General features: G+C 44.9%; 1 annotated feature.

The window, feature by feature from the left end:
• Positions 302 to 391: an enhancer, noted in NCBI's record as "active region_10127". NCBI's record gives its function as "activates an Ori minimal core promoter by ATAC-STARR-seq in GM12878 lymphoblastoid cells {active_cell/tissue: GM12878}" and the evidence as "EXISTENCE:reporter gene assay evidence [ECO:0000049][PMID:35858748]".

The following is a 20,742-nucleotide window of genomic DNA, read 5'->3' as shown; positions in this document are numbered from 1 at the left end:
ACGCACGTTAGCTGGCGTCTTCCTCCCTCCCAACAACAACTTCTTCCATTCTATTGGTTAATTTCAACACCACCCCTTCCGCCTCCTTCGTGCGGATAGGCTGGCCTTAGTGCCATTCACTGTCCGTAGGCGTTTCTGGTTTTCTTGAGAAGCCCCGGGCCACGATTGGCTGGTGATGGAACCTTTGGGGTTGGAGCTGAGCTGTTGCTTTTTTCCCCGCAGTGCGGACCCCTCCAGGCTAGCTGGAGGGTTCCTGGTATGGTCTAGGCCAGGCTAGAATGGTTAGTGCAGGGTCGCACAAATAGTGGATTCGCGTCTAGAAAAAGCTCTGGCTTCGGTGTTTCTAGGTTCAGATTTTGTCTTTAAAAAAAGGGAAAGAAAAAAATGACTGACAGGATGATGAGCAAACAAGATACAGGCCCACAGCCCTTGGGCAAGCAGCCATATCCTCAAAATATTTGTTCTAAGCACCCAGGCCTTCCATGAAGGTCACACAGTCAGGACCAATGGTTTTACCATCAGCACATTCCCTAGCCCCAGTATCCGAGTTGAGATGCGATTTATTTGTGGATTTGTAGACTGCCTGTTGCGCATTTACCTGAGAGCCTAAAAGAATGTCTAGTGTCTTGTGAGCTGTCGTCATGGAAATCAAAAAAAACAATTAAAAAGAATGTCCAGTGTCCTGAGGCCTTAGCGAATCAATCTCAATACCGGTTGACTGGATTCCACCCTGTAGGACAATGTTTGTTAGAGTAGCAGTTTGAACCTGAAAAATCATAGTCTACCTTTTCAACCTCCTTCCAGAGAACCAGGCAAAACAAGTTTCATTTGCTTTCGGCAAATCTCACTTTTTTTTCGTTACTTCTTCCTACTTTAACGTGGAAACAACTCTAAGAAGACCATAGGAAAAAAATGAAAACCTAAACTTTCCTGAAATGGATGGGGAAAAAAAAAAGAGGTAGCTCTCTCCCGTTGCCGGTATTTAGAAATCTTGCTCCTTTTGGCAGGGGACCTGGGGAAAATGAAAGGAACACCAGATGCTTAGTTTTACCGGATTTTTTTTTAGAGGAGGGGCTTAGGGGTGAGGGAAACAACTCTTCAGTTCTTTTGAGCCTCTGCCCCTGGGTTAGCATCAGAAAATGTTACATACATGTAGAGCCTAGGAAATAGTCTGGCCGCTTTTTAAAATGACACAGTTGTTGATTGATTTGGCTCAGTGTAGCATCAGCCACTTAGGACAAAGCTAGGACTTGATCCCAAGTCTCCTGACTTTTTATAGATCTTGATTTCCTTGTATGCAACCAGGCCACCCTCCTTGGCAGTATACTTTGAACTCTAAGTAGGCACACACACACACCCACAAAATACTTCTTCAACTGAAATTAAATTTTCTCCAAGAGACATTTAATTTCCAAGAGACATTCCCTTACACAGTGTAGCTTTGGACACGGTGGACCTGCAACAAGGCTGTTTTTGCTGAAATAGCCCCATTCTGAATCCTTTTTTCCTCATTCTTCTGCTGTGTTTTTGCTGTGCTGTTGTTCACTCCCTTTTCCTTCCATTTTTCCCCTCTTATTACAACCTGAAATCCCTCTCTGATTGTGCCTTTACAGATTCATCACCGAGTATGTCTATGCCAGGGAAACAGACCTAAGCAGGCATTTATTAAAACAGTCATGGCTGAAAAGCATTGAGTTAGCTGACTAGGTGCCAGACATTGTTGTCAAATCTCATTGGGGATTAACTTGATCATACTGCACTCCAATGAGAGACAGTTATCGTCCCTCTCTGTGTCTTATCCCTATTAGGATACTGAGGCTCAAGGAGTTTAAGTAACTTGCCCGGGTTCACACTACCAAGAAGTATTTTAGCCCAGATAATTTGCCTTCAGACCCTTCGGCCTCTCCCAGTTTCCTTTCAAAAACTGTCCCTTCGCTGAATAGGTCATTTGGATCTTTTGTTGTGTGGATCCTCCAGATTTGCCGGCTCCTCCCTCCTATGCTTCATTGGAGGTATTCTACCTTTAGAATCAAACATGAGATCCAGTCTAATTGAATCCCCAGGCTTCGCCCCACCCCATTGCTGTCAATCTCCTGATGCCACCTGGGAGCCCTCCAGCTCTCTTGTTTGCTCCCCCTTTGATTTCTGGACCCCTAGGATTCAGCTTTGGAGTGGCTCAATTGTATGAAGAGATACCTTGGGCGACTTACATAAAATAGCTTTCTTTTCCCAAGTTTACATCCCACACGATGTCCTCTTTAGAGAAGGCCCTTTATTGAAACTTTGTCTGCTATCACAAATGACAGCTATGATTTCCTTTGCCATAGCTATACCATCTCTTCAGTCATCCCTCCTTACAGCAAGAAGAGTTCTATTGTAAATAAAAAGACCTGACACCTGGCAGACCACATCCTACCCCCTCCACAGCTCCTTTTCACTCTCAGTGATCTGCCAGAGAACCAAGAGGAAATCCCTCCCACCCCCAAGTCACACTGACTCCTGTGACTACCATTTCTTTGGGAAAGAAGATGAAGAGCCAAACCCTTAGCCTTGGCTCACTTAAAGGAAAGGCCTGTGCATGTGCTCTGAGTAGTTCTGTTACTATTCAATACTGTCCAGTGAAAAAATTGGCTGGGCAGAGAATATTTCTAGAAGGATACAAGGATATGTTTATACTGGTTGCCTCAGATGTAGCTACAGAATTGGGGCAGAAGGGACACTTTTTACTCTACTTTTCTGTGACTTTGGAATTTTGAACCATGTGAATGTACTGCCTTCTTCAATTAATTTTTTTTTTTTTTTTTGAAAGAGTCTTGCTTTGTCACCCAGGCTGAAGTGCAGTGGTGCAATCTCGAATCACTGCAACTTCTGCCTCTGGGGCTTAAGAGATTCTCCTGCCTCAGCCTCCCGAGTAGCTGGGATTACAGGCACGCACCACCATGTCTGGCTAATTTTTTTGTAATTTTAGTAGAGACGGGGTTTCACCGTGTTGTCCAGGCTGGTCTCGAACTCCTGAATTCAAGTGATCCACCCGTTTCGGCCTCCCAAAGTGCTGGGATTACAGGCATGAAGCACCACGTCCAGCCCTAATTAATTTATTTTTATTAAGTTATTTATTTATTTTGGAGACAAGTTCTTGCTCTGTCACCCAGGTTAGAATGTAGTGGCAAGATCATAGCTCACTGCAGCCTTGAACTCCTGAGCTCAAGCCATCCTTCCTCCCACCTCAGCCCTCAGCCTCCCAAGTAGCTGGGACTACAGGCATGCACCACCATGCCTGGCTAATTTTTTTTTTTTTACTGTAGAGACAAGGTCTTGCTTTGTTGCTCAGGCTCATCACAAACTGCTGGCCTCAAGCAACACTCCCACCTCAACCTCCCAAAGTGCTGATCTTTAGGAGGGAAGGCAAGATAGAAGGAAAAAAGCAAAGAAACTAAACAATCTGCTGAGCTAAAAGCTGACACTACTGGAAAGAAAGGTTAACTTTTTTATTTACTGCATAAGAATCTGCATTGCCTGAATTAGTTACAGTAAACACTTGTAATTTTTTAAAATGAAGTGAAGGTCACAGGAAACTCAGTACCTCCAGGGCTGTGAACGTCATCTAAGGTGCACCTGGCTGATAATAAGGACTCCTGGTACATAGAATGGGAGACAGCAGCTTCCACTCCAAATGTCACATGACTTCACACAGCTCAGCAATAGAACAGGGCTTTCCACAGTCCTCCCTGCTTCCCCGAAGCTTCACAGGTTTATTTTCCTTCTTCTGCCTTCCACTCCTCTAATAGCAATTAAAGGAGAGGCAGAAACGCCAGCAAGGTCTGCCTTTCCCCCTGCTTCCCTTCCTCCCTGTCCCCTTTTGCTTTGGGGTGTCTCCTTTAGATTGTCAGCTGAGCTTATCTTGGAGGCGCAGCAGAAACCTAGGATGACCTTGACTCAAACCAAGGACACGGTTTTCAAGTGCAGGCGTTTCCAGATTCCTGCTGTTCTGCTCCTGCTCTTTGCAGCTTCTCTTGCTCCTCATACTCTGCAGAACTTGAACGCAGGCTCTGTCTTATGCTCGGTATACCCTCTGCTCCTTCACGTGTGGTAGTCCTTCTTTGCTTTGCACAGGTTATGTCGCACACAGCATTGAAGATCATTTGATTCTCAAAATATCATTGCCAAGCACAATTATTGAGTTTCTTTCATGTGCCAGGTACTATTTTAGGAGCTGAGGTTATAGCATGGACAAAAGAGATGGAGTACCTGTTCTCATGGAGTTTATATTCTAGAGGGGGGGAAAGGCAATACACAAGAAAATACCTATAGCCGGGCATGGTGGCGCAAGCCTGTAGTCCCAGATACTGAGGAGCCTGAGACAGAAGAATCACTTGAACCTGGGAGGTGGAAGTTGCAGTGAGCCAGATCACACCACTGCCCTCCAGCTTAGGCAACAGAGTGAGACTCCATCTCAAAAAAAAAAAAAAGAAAATACCCAGTAGTAATAAGTGCTGTGACGATGGGAGCCAAATTTTGGTTGAGTGGTCAGGGAAGACTGATCTGAGGAAGTAATATTTAAGTTGAGGCAGGAAGGGCACAAAGGAGGCAGCTAGCTATGTGTATATCTATGGGTGGATTCCAGGCTAAGATGGCAGATAGCATGCATGCTACTAATTTTGCTCTATCCCAAAACTGCACTAAACAGATTTTCTTTTCTATTCCTTTTCTTTCTTTTTTTAAGTCGTAAAACCATAAGGAAAGGAGAACAGGAGAGGAGAAAAGAGCAACACAATTTTAGAAGCTGAAAAATAGATGGATGAGTGGTAACTGATTTAGCAGACATGAGAAAGCTGAGATCCAACCCAACTTACACTGGAAAAACCTCAAAAGGCTCAGAAACTGCCAGAACCAGGGACCGTTGGGACTGAGGGTGGAGGAGAAGGCTAAAATAAGGAGAACTGAGCGAAAGCAATTTAAGGAGCAGTGAGATCCCTAGATCCCCTCTGTGCTTCCAGCAAAAAAAAACCTGGAGGTTTATCTTCTAGAAAGTCTCTGACTTGGAGGATGTCAGGCTTGCTGAGGGTACAGGAAATAAAGAAATGGGGAGGTCCAGAGGCCAGATGCACAGTGAATGCAGAGACTCCAGCAGTCTTGCTCCATCTGGCTCTCAGATTTCTGGCAAAGTGACTTCTGTCTTCCAGGTAGGAGAGTGGAAGACTTTTTTTTTTTTTTTTTTTTTTTGAGATAGTCTTGCTGTGTTGCCCAGGCTGGAGTGCACTGGCGTGATCTTGGCTCTCTGCAACCTCCTCCTCCTGGATTCAAGCGATTATCCTGCCTCAGCCTCCTGAGTAGAGGGGATTATAGGTTTGCACAACCACGCCCAGCCGGAAGACTTTTCTCTGAGGAATGTTATCAGCCTAGAGGAATGATGAACAGAGGCTAACACTGGGGTTTTCCAAACAAATGGTTGAACAAGGTCATCCGTCAGTGAAGCTCAGGATCCATGTATCAGACACATTCTGTGCACTGCTTCTAATCCTTTTGGTCTCACCTCTTACTCCACCCACATCTGCAGCCACCTTTCCATCAAATTCCATACAGCTTTGGAAGGCAAAGGAAAGTCTCCTCTCAGCCCTGAATCTCAAAGTTTCTCTGACATTGTGTGGGTCTGCAGAACCACTCACATCAGCATTTAGGCACGTGCAACCTAGAAATTTAGGGAACATCTCTGGGGCCACCTTTGAGGATAAACGTTTTCCTCTGTCATCCCGAGTGTACAATTCTGAGACACATTTCATAAGACTCAAAATATCTCATGGAATGCAGCACAAGTCACCTAAAATGGTGGCCAACTAAGTAACACAGCATTGTATTGGCTTTCTCTCTGTCCTTTCTCACCGCCTCAGTCCCTCCCACGTTTCTGCTTCCTTGTATCAATTCCCAGATGAGCTACCGCCATGTAACTCTTTGTCTTGGGCTCTTCTTTGGAGGAAGCCTCAGCTAATACAACAAGGCCCAATCCCACACTCAAAGCTGAGACGGAGTCTTGCTCTGTCACCCAGGCTGGAGTGCAGTGGCGCGATCTCTGCTCACGGCAGCCTCCACCTCCCCGATTCAAGCGATTCTCCTGCCTCAACCTCCTGAGTAGTTGGGATTACAGGCGCATGCCACCATGCCCGGCTGAGGTGGGAGGACTGCTTGAGGCCAGGAATTTGAGACCAGCCTAGCCAACATGATGAAACCCCCCCTCTACTAAAAATACTAAAATTAGACAGGCGTGCAGGCATGGTGGCACGTACCTGTAATCACAGCAACTTGGGTGGCTGAGGAAAGAGAATGGCTTGAACCCAGGAGGCAGAGTTTGCAGTGAGCTAAGATCACACCACTGCACTTCAGCCTTGGCAACACAGCAAGACTGTCAAGAAAGAAAGTAAGGAAGGGAGGGAGGGAGGAAGGAAAGGAGGGAAGGAGGAAGGGCAATCTACAGAATGGAAGAAAATATTTGCATATATCCGATAAGGGGTTAATTTTCAAAATATAGGAAAAGCCAGGTGTAATGGCTCATGCCTGTCATCCTATCATTTCGGGAGGCCAAGGCAAGTGGATTGCTTGAGGCCAGGAGTTCAAGATCAGCCTGGCCAACATGGTGAAACCCCGTCTCTACTAAAAATACAAAAATTATCTGGGCATAGTGGCTCACACCTGTAGTCCCAGCTACTGGGGAAGCTGAGGCAGGAGAATTGCTTGAACTCAGGATAGAGGCTACAGTGAGTTGAAATCATGTCACTGCACTCCAACCTGGGCGACAGAGTGAGACTCCATCTCTAAATAAATAAATAAACAAATAAAATACGGGAAGAATTCCTACAACTCCATAGCAAAAATAACAAATGGCCTGATTTTTTTTTTTTTTAAAGACAAAGTTTTGCTCTTGTCACCCATGCTGGAGTGCAGTGGCGCCATCTCTGCTCACTGCAACTTCCGCCTCCTGGGTACAAGTGATTCTCCTGACAAATGGCCTGATTATTTAAATGGGCAAAGGATATGAACAGATATTTCCCCCAAAGAAGGCATACAAATGATCAACAGGTGTATAAAAGATGCTCAACCTCATTATCAGAGAAATGCAAATCAAAACTACAGTAAGATATTACCTTCTACCTTTTAGGATGGACTTTTTTTTTTTTTTTTTTTTTGAGACAGAGTCTCGCTCTGTCGCCCAGGCTGGAGTGCAGTGGCGCGATCTCGGCTCACTGCAAGCTCCACCTCCCGGGTTCACGCCATTCTCTTGCCTTAGCCTCCGAGTAGCTGGGACTACAGGCGCCCACCACCATGCCCAACTAGTTTTTTGTATTTTTAGTAGAGACGGGGTTTCACCATGTTGGCCAGGCTGGTCTCGAACTCCTGACCTTGTGATGCTCCTGCCTCGGCCTCCTATGTACATTTAGAAATGCTTATAATAGGCCAGGCGCAGTGGCTCACACCTATAATCCCAGCATTTTGGGAGGCTGAGGTGGGTGGATCATGAGGTCAGGAGATCAAGACCATCCTGGCTAACATGGTGAAACCTCGTCTCCACTAAAAATACAAAAAATTAGACAGGCGTGGTGGCGGGTGCCTGTAGTCTCAGCTACTTGGGAGGCTGAGGCAGGAGAATGGCATGAACCTGGGAGGTGGAGCTTGCAGTGAGCCAAGATCGCGCCACTGCACTCCAGCCTGGGCAACAGAGCAAGACTCCGTCTCAAAAAAAACAAAGGTAACTTGGTGAGGAAATGGGGAAATTGGAACTCTTATACACTGATTGTGGGAATGTAAAATGCTGCAGCAGCTATGGAAAACACTATGGAGATTCCTCAAAAAATTAGATATAGGCCAGCTGTAGTGGCTCACACTCACAATCCCAGCACTTTGGGAAGCCAAGGTGAGAGGATAACTTGAGCCCAGTTCAAGACCAGCCTTTGCAACATAGGAAGACCCCATCTCTACAAAATATTTAAAAATGTTTTAAAGTTTAAGTTATTGAATAAATAAATAAAAATTCAAAAATCAGCTGGGAATCTCTGGTTCCCAGCAACTCAGGAGGCTGAGGTAGAAGGATTGCTTGAGCCCATGAGGTGGGGGCTACAGCAAGCCAATATCATGCCGCTACACTCCAGCCTGGGTGACAGAGCGAGACCCTGTATCAAAAAAAAAAAAAAAGCAAAATAGAACTAAATATGATTCAGCAATCCCACTTCTGGGTATATATCCAAAAATAATTGAAATCAGGGCCAGGTGCAGTGGCTCACGCCTGTAATCCCAGCACTTTTGGAGGCCAAGGCAGGCAGATCACCTGAGGTCAGGAGTTTGAGACCAGCCTGGCCAACATGGTGAAACCCCCATCTCTACTAAAAATACAAAAATTAGCCAGGCTTGGTGGTGGACACCTGTAATCCCAGCTACTTGGGAGGCTGAGGCAGGAGAATAGCTTGAACCCAGGAGGTGGAGGTTGCAGTGAGCCGAGACCACACCACTGCACTCCAGCCTGGTCAACAGAGTGAGAATCTGTCTCAAAAAAAAGAAAAAAAGAATTGAAAAGGCCGGGTGCTGTGGCTCAGGCCTGTAATCCCAACACCTTGGGAAGCCGAGGTGGGCGGATCACCTGAGGTCGGGAGTTCGAGACCAGCGTGACCAACATGGAGAAACCCTGTCTTTACTAAAAATACAAAAAATTTGCCGGGCGTGGTGGCACATGCCTGTAATCCCAGCTCCTCGGGAGGCTGAGGCAAGAGAATAGCTTGAACCCGGGAGGTGGAGGTTGCTGTGAGCCGACATCATTGCCATTTCACAAGAGTGAAACTCCATCTCAAAAAAAAAAAAAAAAAAGAATCAAAATCAGTGTCCCCAAGAGATATCTGCACTCCCATGTTCACAGCAGCATTATTCACAATAGTCAAGATATGGAAACAATCCAAATATCCATCGACAGATGAATGGATAAAGAAGATGTGTATATACGTAAAATGAAATATTATTTGTCCTTTAAAAGGTAGGAAGTCCTGCCACTGACGGCAATAAGGATGAAATTGGAAGACATTTTCCTAAGAGAAACCAGTCACAAAGCGACAAAAACTGCATGATTTCATTCATGTTATAAATCTGTAATAGTCAAACTCATAGAAGCAGAAAATACAATAGAGGGCCGAGTGCAGTGTCTCATGCCTATAATCCTAGCATTTTGGGAGGCCAAGGTGGGTGGATCCCCTGAAGTCAAGAGTTCGAGACCAGCCTGACCAATATCGTGAAACCCCATCTCTACTAAAAACACAAAAATTAGCCAGGCATGGTGGGGGGGCACCTGTAATCCTAGCTACTTGGGAGGCTGAGGCAGGAGAATCAACTGAGCCCAGGAAGCGGAGGTTGCAGTGAGCAGAGATTGCACCACTGCATTCCAGCCTGGCGATAGAGCGAGACTCTGTCTCAGAAAGAAAAAAAAGAAAGAAAGAAAAGAAAAAGAAACATTATGGGCCAGGTGCGGTGGCTCACACCTGTAATCCCAGAACTTTGGGAGACCAAGGAGGGCTGATCACCTGAGGTCAGTAGTTCAAGACCACCCTGGGCAACATGGTGAAACCCTGTCTCTACTAAATACAAAAATTGGCCAGGTGTGGTGGTACCCACCTGTAATCCCAGCTACTCAAGAGGCTGAGGCAGGAGAATCACTTGAACCCGGGAGGCAGAGGTTGCAGTGAGCCCAGATTGCACCACTGCACTCTGGCGTGGGCAACAGAGCGAGACTCCATCTAAAAAAAAATAAAAATAAAAATACAAGAAACACAGGCTTTTAAGACATTAGACAACAAGCAACAGAGATCTGTGATTCCTGAGAGAAAACAAATGGCATAAGCACTCTTTTTGCCCCCGTGTGTTGTCTGGATTGCATTTCCAGGCCTCAGTGCTGGGAGGGGAAACCCAGGCAGAACCAGTGTTCTCCCTAAATGGAGGAGATAGATCTGGGAGCATAGGGAGGGCCAGGTGGCTAGAGTTACCAGGGCAGAGTACCAGAGAGAATATGAGCCATAGAAGAAAACACTGATGGCCAGGTGCAGTGGCTCATGCCTGTAATCCCAGCAGTTTGGGAGGCCTAGGCGGGTGGACCGCCTGAGGTCAGGAGTTTGAGACCAGCCTGACCAATATGGTGAAACCCTGTCTCTACTAAAAATACAAAAACTAGCCGGGCGTGGTGGTGGGCACCTGTAGTCAGAGCTTCTCAGGAGGCTGAGGCAGGAGAATCCAGGAGGCGGAGGTTGCAGTGAGCCGAGATCGAGCCAGTCGACTCCAGCCTGGGCGACAGAGTGAGACCCTGTCTCAGAAACAAACAAACAAACAAAAGTAAAATCAGAGTAAGATACCACTACATGCATAGGAGACAGCTGAGAATTTAAAAGACAATGCCAAGTGTTGGTAAGGATGTGGAACTCTCGTACTTTGCCAATGAAAATGCAAAATGGCACAGCTACTTTGGAAATATTTGGCGGTTTCTTATACAGTTAAGTATAGTTACCGCATCACCCTGATCCTAGGTATTTACCCAAATGGTATCGCTATAAAATTCAAAACTATTCAACAATAAAAATTAATGAGATATTGATACATGCAATCTGGATGAATCTCAGATCTAATTTTGCTGAGTGAAATAAGCCAAACAAAACAGTGCATTCTCTACAATTCCATTTATATGAAATTCTAGAAAATGCAAAATAATAGAAAGCAGATCAGTGCCTGGGGATCGAGAGTGGGAAAGAGATGGAAGGAGGGGATTTCAAAAGGGCATGAGGAAATTTTCAAGGGTAATGATTATGTTCACCGTCTGGATCGTGGTGATGGTTTCTCAGATATGTATGTCAGAACTTATCAAATTGTACACTTTAAACACGCGCAGCTAATTGTTGTCAATTATACATCAGTAAGACTGTGTTATTAAAAATTGCATGGCTGGGCACGGTGGCTCACACCTATAATCCCAACACTTTGGGATGCTGAGGCAGGTGGATCACCTGAGGTCAGGAGTTTGAGACCAGCCTGGACAACATGGTGAAACCCCATCTCTATTAAAAATACAAAAATTAGGCTGGGCGCAGTGGCTCACACCTGTAATCCCAGCACTTTGGGAGGCCGAGGCAGGCGAATCACGAGGTCAAGAGATCAAGACCATCCTGGCCAACAGGATGAAACCCTGTCTCTACTAAAAATACAAAAATTAGCCAGGTGTGGTGGCACACGCCTGTCGTCCCAGCTACTCGGGAGGCTGAGGCAGGAGAATTGCTTGAATCCGGGAGGTGGAGGCTGCAGTGAGCTGAGATCACACCACTGCATTTCAGCCTGGGCAAAAGAGCGAGACTCTGTCTCAAAAACAAAAAAAAAAATTAGCTGGCCATGGTGGCATGCACCTGTAGTCCCAGCTACTCAGGAGGCTGAGGCAGAAGAATTGCTTGAACCCAAGAGGCAAAGATTGCAGTGAGCTGAGATCATGCCACTGCACTCCAGACTGGGTGACAGAGCCAGAGTCCATCTCACAGAAAAAAAAAAAAAAAAAAAAAAAAAAATTGCATACAGGTTGCCTTCAGATACCTCGTGATAAATAAAGAAAAAAAGAAAAATGCCTAAGGGTTTCCTTGTTTCCTTATTTGTCACTGGAGTAGCCTGTGAAGATGGTACACTTAAATATTTATTCCTATTTCATTTTTTTTTTACCACACATGTATTTTATTCTTTGACTTCTTGTAATTTTTAATTTTTTAAATAGCACCTGGTTCAAAATTCAAAAAGTACAAAAGGATATATAATGAAAAGCCTCTCATCTCTCTTTCCATCCATCCAGTACCCCTCCCTGAGAGCAGTTAATGTAGCTAGTTTTCAAAGTATCTTTCCTAAGATATTCCAGATTTTATTATAAGGCACATGCTACTGAGATAAACTAGAATGGGGTTGTATTTTATCTGTTGGCTCAAAGACTTCAGGATCAAGAGCATGTTCAACATCAGACAAATGGTCCTGTACAATCTTTGTGAAGCCACACTATCAGGCTATCAGGTGGAAGCCCCACCCCACTGCCACACCCTGCTGAAAATGCCACCGACGATCTCAAATATTTCTCTCCTCTTTGACCTTTCTCTTGCACCTAACAGTAACCTCTCACCTCTTGTAGCTCTCAGTACCTGGTCCTTCCTGACACCGCATGGTCCCAGCTTTCCTCTGACACCTTTAGCCCTTTCTTTTCCATTCATCTTCCTGTTTGCCTTCTGGTTTCCCTCTGACTCTCTACATGAAGACGGTTCCCAGGCGCTGTCCTTGAAGGGCTCCCTAAAAAAGTCTTACCGGTTTGCAACTAGCTGCGTGCACTAAGGCCTCTTTTAAGTGTTAAGTTGGTGTTTTGCCAGCTTAATGCATCACCTACTCTGGCCTCAGCCAGACTGTTACTGTCCTGTCAGCCTGTCTGGCACACGACTGCCCCCCACATTTGCACAGCCCTCCCCACAGCCCTCAAATGTGCACTGCTCACATCTCCGGCTCTGTGCCCATCCCACAGGGCCAGTTCATGCAAACTGTTTGGATTTCTCTCTTCCAAAGTGATTACTTTCCCTCCTTAGGATTTCTACCAGTTAACGCCTATGCTATTTCTAAGAAGTTGGTTTTTATCATAAATTATTATCTATTTGAGTACAAGGACTGTATCTCCCTAAGTAGACTCAACCTAGCTTTACTGGAGGTAGAAACCTTGGCTTAGATTTATTTTGTTTACTAATGCACAGCTGTAGATGCTCAAATAACTGAGGGAATGTTTGCTGTATCAAAATTACCCAACAGGACATTAAAATACCCAATTGTACATCAAATTCCATTAAGTAGATTAGGAGAACTTGATATTGAATGGGCTTTAACAAGGTTTCACCAAAGTAAATCACCACAATTTAAGGTAGCTTTTATGTAAATATAGGCTTCCATTTATGAGAGCTCCTAAAAAGCAGGATACACCCTGTATGTCAGTGATGAAAAAGTAGATTTTGCCGTTGGCACTCTGATAGAATCTCTGGAATGCTGGCATGTTATGCAATAGCCCCTAACCAGCCAACCAGAAGTATCTCAATCCTGAGAACTCTTTGGTACTTTACTTGGGCTCTTACTATTTTCAGTTTGCAGTACAGTGATTCATTTACAAGTGCCTTCTCCTTACTAGGTGTAGGCACTAGGAAGACAGACAGTGGTAGCAACAAGCCAAGCGCAAGGACCTTGGCACCATCAGCTTTGAGATCCAAACCTGACTCGGCCATTCCCTGGCTGTCTGACCCCAGCCTGTTCTGACCCCATCAAAATACATGACTAGATGGCCACACGTGGTGGCGTGCCCCTGTAGTCCCAACTACATGGGAAGCTGAGGTGGAGGATCACTTGAACCCAGCAGTTCAAGGCTGTGGTGCACTATGATAGTACCTGGGCAATACAATGAGACCCATCCCTACAAAAAAAACATTTAAAAATTAGCCAGGTGTAGAGGCACGTGCCTGTAGTCCCAGCACTGCCGGGCTGAGTTGGGAGGATCGCCTGAGCCCAAGAATTCGAAGGTGCAGTGAGCTATGATCATGCCACTTCACTCCAGCCTGAGTGACAGAGCGAGACCCCATCTCTTTTAAAAAATAAAATAAAATAAAGATTATATAGAAAGCTCCACATTGTCCAATCTGTTTGTACACCATTGTCAACCATCAAAAACCCACTTGGCAGCAAATGAGATGGACTGCCTGGCCTGGGAACTACAGGCCAATTGAAAAAGACTGTTCCTGTTGCAAAATATTGCAGGGTCACGGCCGGGCGCGGTGGCTCATGCTTGTAATCCCAGCACTTTGGGAGGCCGAGGCGGGCAGATCACGAGGTCAGAAGATCGAGACCACGGTGAAACCCCGTCTCTACTAAAAATACAAAAAAATTAGCCGGGCGTGGTGTCGAGCGCCTGTAAGTCCCAGCTACTCGGAGAGGCTGAGGCAGGAGAATGGCGTGAACTCGGGAGGCGGAGCTTGCAGTGAGCCGAGACTGCGCCACTGCACTCCAGCCTGGGTGACGGAGCGAGACTCTGTCTCAAAAAAAAAAAAAAAAAAAAAAAATTGCAGGGTCACAAAACAAGCAAGCCATGGGTCTTTAATTTTAAATATTTGGCTGTGCACTGTGGCTCACACCTGTAATCTCAGCACTTTGGGAGGCCAAGGCGGGCGGATCACTTGGGTCCAGGTGTTCGAGATCAGCCTGGCCAACATGGCGAAACCCCATCTCTACTAAAAATACAAAAACTTATCCCAGCCTGGTGGTGTGCACCTGTGGTTCCAGCTATTCATGGAGATCTGAGGCAGGAGGATCACTTGAGCCCAGGAGGTCAAGGCTGCTGTGAGCCCTGATTGCGCCACGGTGCTGCACCCTGGACGACAGAGTGAGACCCTGTCTCAAAAAATATAAGTAAGGCCGGGCGCAGTGGCTCACGCCTGTAATCCCAGCACTTTGGGAGGCCGAGGCTGGCAGATCACAAGGTCAGGAGTCTGAGACCCACCTGACCAACATGGCAAAATCCCTTCTGTACTAAAAATACAAAAATTAGCCTGGCGTGGTGGCACGCGCCTGTAATCCCAGCTACTCGGGAGGCTGAGGCAGGAGAATCACTTGAACCCAGGAGGCGGAGGTTACAGTGAGCCGAGATCACCCCATTGCACTCCAGCCTGGGCTACAGAGCGAGACTCCATCTCAAAAAATAATAATAATAATAAATAAATAAAATTAAAATGTGATACTTTGTTCATCAGAGATATATTGACATTATTTTAACCTTTAAAAATATTACATGGAAATATTATTTGTTTTGATTATTGAGTTTTTTGGTGCCTCAGTTGCTTCATCCTAACCCCAGCCCTGCTAGTATCTATAGAATCTGAGAAAGGGGACTGGTAACCAGGAGCTTTGGCTCTGACTTCAGCTCTGCCATTTACAAGCTTAGAGACTTGGACTCCCCGAGCCTCACCTTCACAACTCTCCCAGTCTCACAATATGGATGATTATATCTGCCCCATTCTTTGCAGGGCAGTTAAATATGAGGGTCAAATGAGATAATGTAGGAAAGAACATTTTTAAAAGAACATTTTGCTATATATGCAAAAGGAGATAATAATTAGCAATAGTTTTTCTTCCAGCTCACTCTTTGAGCAGGGATTAGCAAATCTAGCTTGATCTGTGAGCTCCTGAATCAGACAGGATGGTAACGTTCACAAACCAGAAACCCTGGGACAACCAACACACCCAGATCTATGCAGCTCCACGGTACTGACTGACGCTGGAGCAAGTCTATGCTAGCACAGTGGCCCCGACCACTACTTCCACCTCTCTGGGACACAGAAATGGGATATATACCCGAAGAGAGAGAGAGAGAGAGAGAGAGAGAGAGAGATTATATTATAGCTGATATATTTCTTAGATCCTGAACCCTCTAAATCTCATGTTGAATTGCAATCCCCAGTTTTGGAGATGGGGCTTGGTGGGAGGTGATTGAATCATGGGGGTGGATCTCTCATGATTTGGTGCTGTCCTTGCAATGGTGAGTGAGTTCTCAGGAGATCTGGTTGTTTAGAAGTGTGTGGTACCTCTCCCCCAACTCTCCCTCTTCTTCCTGCTCTGACCTTGTGATGGGGCCACTCCCGCTTCACATTCCACCATGAATAAAAGCTCCTTGAGGCCTCCCCAGACGCCAGCCAGATGCTGGTGCCATGATTGTACAGCCTGCAGAACTGTGAGCCAATTAAACTTCTTTTCTTTCTAAATTACCCAGTCTCATGTATTCCTTTATAGCAAGGCAAGTATGGCCTAACACAATATCCTTTACAAGGTTTTTATGACCTGGCCGGGTGCACTGGCTCACAAAGGAGGCCGAGGTGGGCAGATCATTTGAGGCCAGGAGTTCGAGACCAGCAGGGTCAACATGGTGAAACCCTGTCTTTACTAAAAATACAAAAATTAGGCAGGTGTGGTGATGGGTGCCTGTAATCCCAGCTACTCAGAAGGCTGAGGCAGGAAAATCACTTGAACCTGGGAAGTGAAGGCTGCAGTGAGCCGAGATCATGCCACTGCACTCCAGCCTGGGTGACACCGAGAGATTCTGTCTCAAATAAACAAACAAACACACAAACAAAGTTTATATGACCAGTGAGCTCAGCTGATGTATTTTAGGCCTGAATTAACTATTCCCAGATTGTAGGCTTTTGCCCAGGAAAAAAGCATAACTTTAAGTGGGCCAACACCTCCTCCATTTGTTTCTTAACAATTGCATTACTTTTGTGTAATCATTATACTCACACCATATCAAGTTTTAAAGTACAGATCGTGGGCTGGGCACGGTGGCTCATGCCTGTAATCCCAGCACTTTGGGAGGCTGAGGTGGGTGCATCACCTGAGGTTAGGGATTCGAGACCAGCATGGCCAACATGGCGAAACCCCATCTCTATTAAAAATACAAAAATTAGCCAGGTATGGTAGCACATGCCTATAATCCCAGCTACTTAGGAGGCTGAGGCAGGAAAATCACTTGAGACAGAAGTTGCAGTGAGCCGAGATCATGCCAGTGAGCCAAGATCACTCTTGGTGACAGAGTGAGACTCCATCTCTAAAAAAAATAAAATAAAATAAAATAATAAATAATTTTATGTATTAATAAAATTAATACATAAATTTAATAAAATGAAGTATAGATTGTGGACTGGTAATTAAGGGTCCTCCTAAAGCCTTCTTGTAGCATTAATTTACTTGTTTCTTGCACAATTAGGTAATTTATTTGTGACATTTCACTGGTGTTTCATTAAAGCAGTGTTATTCTTTGCGGTGCCTCACACCTGTAATCCCAGCACTTTGGGAGGCCGAGGAGGGCAGATCACAAGGTCAGGAGATCGAGACGATCCTGGCTAACACGGTGAAACCCCATCTCTACTAAAAATACAAAAAAATTAGCTGGGCATGGTGGGGGGCACCTGTAGTCCCAGCTACTCGGGAGGCTGAAGCAGGAAAATGGCATGAACCCGGGAGGCAGAGCTTGCAGTGAGCCAAGACTGAGCCACCGCACTCCAGCCTGGGTGACAGAACAAAATTCCGTCTCAAAAGAAAAAGAAAAAAAAAAAAAACAGTGTTATTCTTGTTACCTATTTTAGGTATTTCTTTTCTTGTTGTTGTAGCAGTTAAGATCAGCGATGGTAAAAAGTTTACTTTTGGAGGCAATCTGGTTTTGCTTCTTTGGTTTATTTAAAATGACCAAAGGTTTTCAAAGTTTATGAACCAGGGTTCCAAAACCTTTTCTAATATTTGGAGAAAGTTTTAAACTGCATATGTGGAGCGTAATATAATTCTTTTCAACTTTCCTGTGTTGATATTTTTTCACCCTAGAATTTTGGGGTTTGTTTTTGCTGCTTTCATAAGCAGGTGCCATATACAATGCAAAATGAAAGGATCACTGAGGCCGGGGACAGTGGCTCATACCTGTAATCCCAGCACTTTGGGAGGCTGAGGCGGGTAGATCACTTGAGGTCAGGAGTCCAAGAACAGCCTGACCAAGATGGTGAAACCCCGTCTGTACTAAAAATACAAAAATTAGCCAGGCATGGCGGTGCGTGCTTGTTAGCCCAGCTACTTGAGAGGAAGATTGCTTGAACCCAGGAGGCTGAGTTTGCAGTGAGGCAAACTCAGCCTCGGTGACAGAGTGAGACTCTGTCTCATCATTGAGGTAACATACTTTGTGATTATGGTCCAAAGTACCTGCATCAGTCAGTGCCTGCTCCACATTGCCTTTATTTTTTTAATTTTAATTTTTATTTTTGGAGACAGGGTCTTGCTGTGTCACCCAGGCTTGAATGCAGTGATGTGATCACAGCTCACTGCACACATTGTCTTTAAAACAAAGACTGCCTGCTCCAACGTGAGGTCAGCTTTTTCCCTACCCTCTGTCTCAAGAGTGAAAGAACACAGTTGTCAAAGACATACACTTTGTATATACCTTTATTCTCACCTTATTTCAGTGTATGTCATTACCAGTTTGCATGTCTGTAGTGGGTATTTGAGGCATTGGCCACTCAAGCATCCATTCACTTGAATTTGCTATAGGGAAAATCCTGCCTCTTTGGAGACTGTTCAGTGACAGTCATATTTCCCCACTTTATGCCAGCACATGAATCAAAGTTAGCCACTCAGTCATCCCTCCCTCTCTCTCCCTTCTTTCAGTTGAATCTTACTATGCTTTTAATGTCTGTAGGATCTGTACTGATGACACATCTTTCATTTATATTTTCTCATCTATTTTATGGATCAGTCTAGCCAGGGCTTTATCAACTTTGTTGATCTTCTCAAGGTTCCAAATTTAACTTTGTTAATTGTCTCTCTTGTTTGTTTTCTATTTCATTGATTACTACTCCATCCTTATTATTTTCTTCCTTCTACATACCTCCTTAGGTTGACATTGTTCTTAAGACAGAAACTTCAGTCATTAATTTTAATTTTAGGCCATTCTTCGTCTTCTTTCCATTTTCTTTTCTTTTTTTTTTTTTTTTTTTTTTTTGAGACGAAGTCTCCCACTGTCGCCTGGGCTGGAGTGCAGTGGCATGGTGGCATGATCTCAGCTCACTGCAGCCTCTGCCTCCCGCATTCAAGTGATTCTCCTGCCTCAGCCTCCCAAGTAGCTGGGATTACAGGCACCTGCCACCATGTCCACCTAATTTTTTGTATCTTTAGTAGAGACAGGGTTTCACTATGTTGGCCAGGCTGGTCTCAAACTCCTGACCTCGTGATCCTTCTGCCTCAGCCTCCCAAAGTGCTGGGATTACAGGTGTGAGCCACCACACCCAGCTAAAATTCAGCCTTTTTTTTTTTTTTTTTTTTTTTGAGATGGAGTCTCACTCTGTCACCCAGGCTAGATGGAGTGCAGTGGCATGATCTCGGCTCACTGCAACTTCTGCCTCCTGGGTTCTAGAGATTCTCATGACTCAGCATCCTAAGTAGCTGGGACTACAGGCAAGCACCACCATGCCCAGCTAATTTTTTAATTTTTAGCAGAGATGGAGTTTTGCCATGTTGGCAAGACTGGTCTCAAACTCCTGACCTCAAGTGATCTGCCCACCTTGGCCTCCCAAAGTACTGGGATTATAGACGTGAGCCACCGTGCCTGGCTTTAGGCCTTTCTTCTTTTTTAATGTAATCACTTAAAGCTATAAATTTCCCTGTGAGTACTACTTTGAATGCATCCTATAATTTTTTTTTTTTTTTTTTTTTTTTTTGTAGAGACAGGGTCTCAATATGTTGCCCAGGCTGGTCTCAAACTCCTGGACTCAAGTGATACTCCCATCTTGGCCACCTAAAGTTCTGCGATTATAAATATGAGCCATCACACCCAGCCCTATATTTTTTATATGCTGTATTTATTATTATTCAGTTTGAAATATTTTTAACCACACTTTTGGTTCCTTCTCTGACCTATGAATTAGTTAGAAATATGTCATTTAATTTCCAAACATTTGCAGTTTTCCAAGATATATTATTGTTACTAATATCTAATTTAATTCCATACGGTCACAGAATGCATTCTATATTATTTCAATAATTTCAGTTATTGACACTGTTTTGTGGCCCGCATATATCTAACTTGGTGAATGTACCCACGTGTACTTGAAAATGACGTATATTATAGAGTTGTTAGATACAGTGTTCTACAAATAAATATTAGGTCAAGGAGGTTGAAAATGATATTCAGGTCATCTACGTCTTTGTTGATTAATTGCTGAGAGAGTGTGTTTAAAAAACTCTCCAACTGCCCGGGAGCAGTGGTTGCCTGTAAAATCAGCACTTTGGGAGGGCAAGACGGTTGGATCATGAGGTCAGGAGATCGAGACCATCCTGGCTAACATGGTGAAACCCTGTCTCTACTAAAAATACAAAAAATTAGCCGGGCGTGATGGGGGGTGCCTGTAGTCCCAGCTACTCGGGAGGCTGAGGCAGAAGAATGGCGTGAACCCGGGAGGCGGAGCTTGCAGTGAGCCAAGATCGTGCCACTGCACTCCAGCCTGGGCGACTGAGCTGGACTCCATCTCAAAAAAAAAAAAAAACCCTCCAACTATAGGCCAGGCGTGGTGGCTCACGTCTGTAATCCCAGCACTTTGGGAGGCTGAAGTGGGTGGATCACCTAAGGTCAGGAGTTCGAGACCAGCCTGGCTAACATGGTGAAACCCCACCTCTACTAAAAACATACAAAAAATTAGCTGGGCATGGTGGTGCACATCTGTAGTCCCAGCTACTCAGGAGGCTGAACCAGGAGAATTGCTTGAACCCTGGAGGCAGAGGTTGCAGTGAGCCAAGATCATACCACTGCACTCCAGCCTGGGTGACAGAGCAAGACTCCATCTCAGAAAACAAAACAACAAGAACAACAACAACAAAAAAAAACAACTCTAATTGTGGAATGATCTACTTTTCTCTGTCAATTTTTGTTTCATGAGTCTTGAGGATGTGTTACTAGGCACATACACATTATTGTTATACCTTCCTGATGAATTGACTCTTTTGTCATTTAAAGTGTTCATCTTTTCCTTGAAATTTTTTGCTGACGTAGTTGTGATATTTGTCCCCTCCAAATCTCATGTGAAAATGTCATTCTCAATGTTGGAGGTGAGGCCTAGTGGGAGATGTTTTGGTCATAGGGGAGGATCCCTCACAAATGGG

The sequence above is a fragment of the Homo sapiens genome, chromosome 15 (genome assembly GCF_000001405.40).
Source record: "Homo sapiens chromosome 15, GRCh38.p14 Primary Assembly".
Classification (NCBI taxonomy): domain Eukaryota; kingdom Metazoa; phylum Chordata; class Mammalia; order Primates; family Hominidae; genus Homo; species Homo sapiens.
Note: the sequence above shows the minus strand (reverse complement) of the source record. Positions and strands in the feature narration are given on the sequence as shown.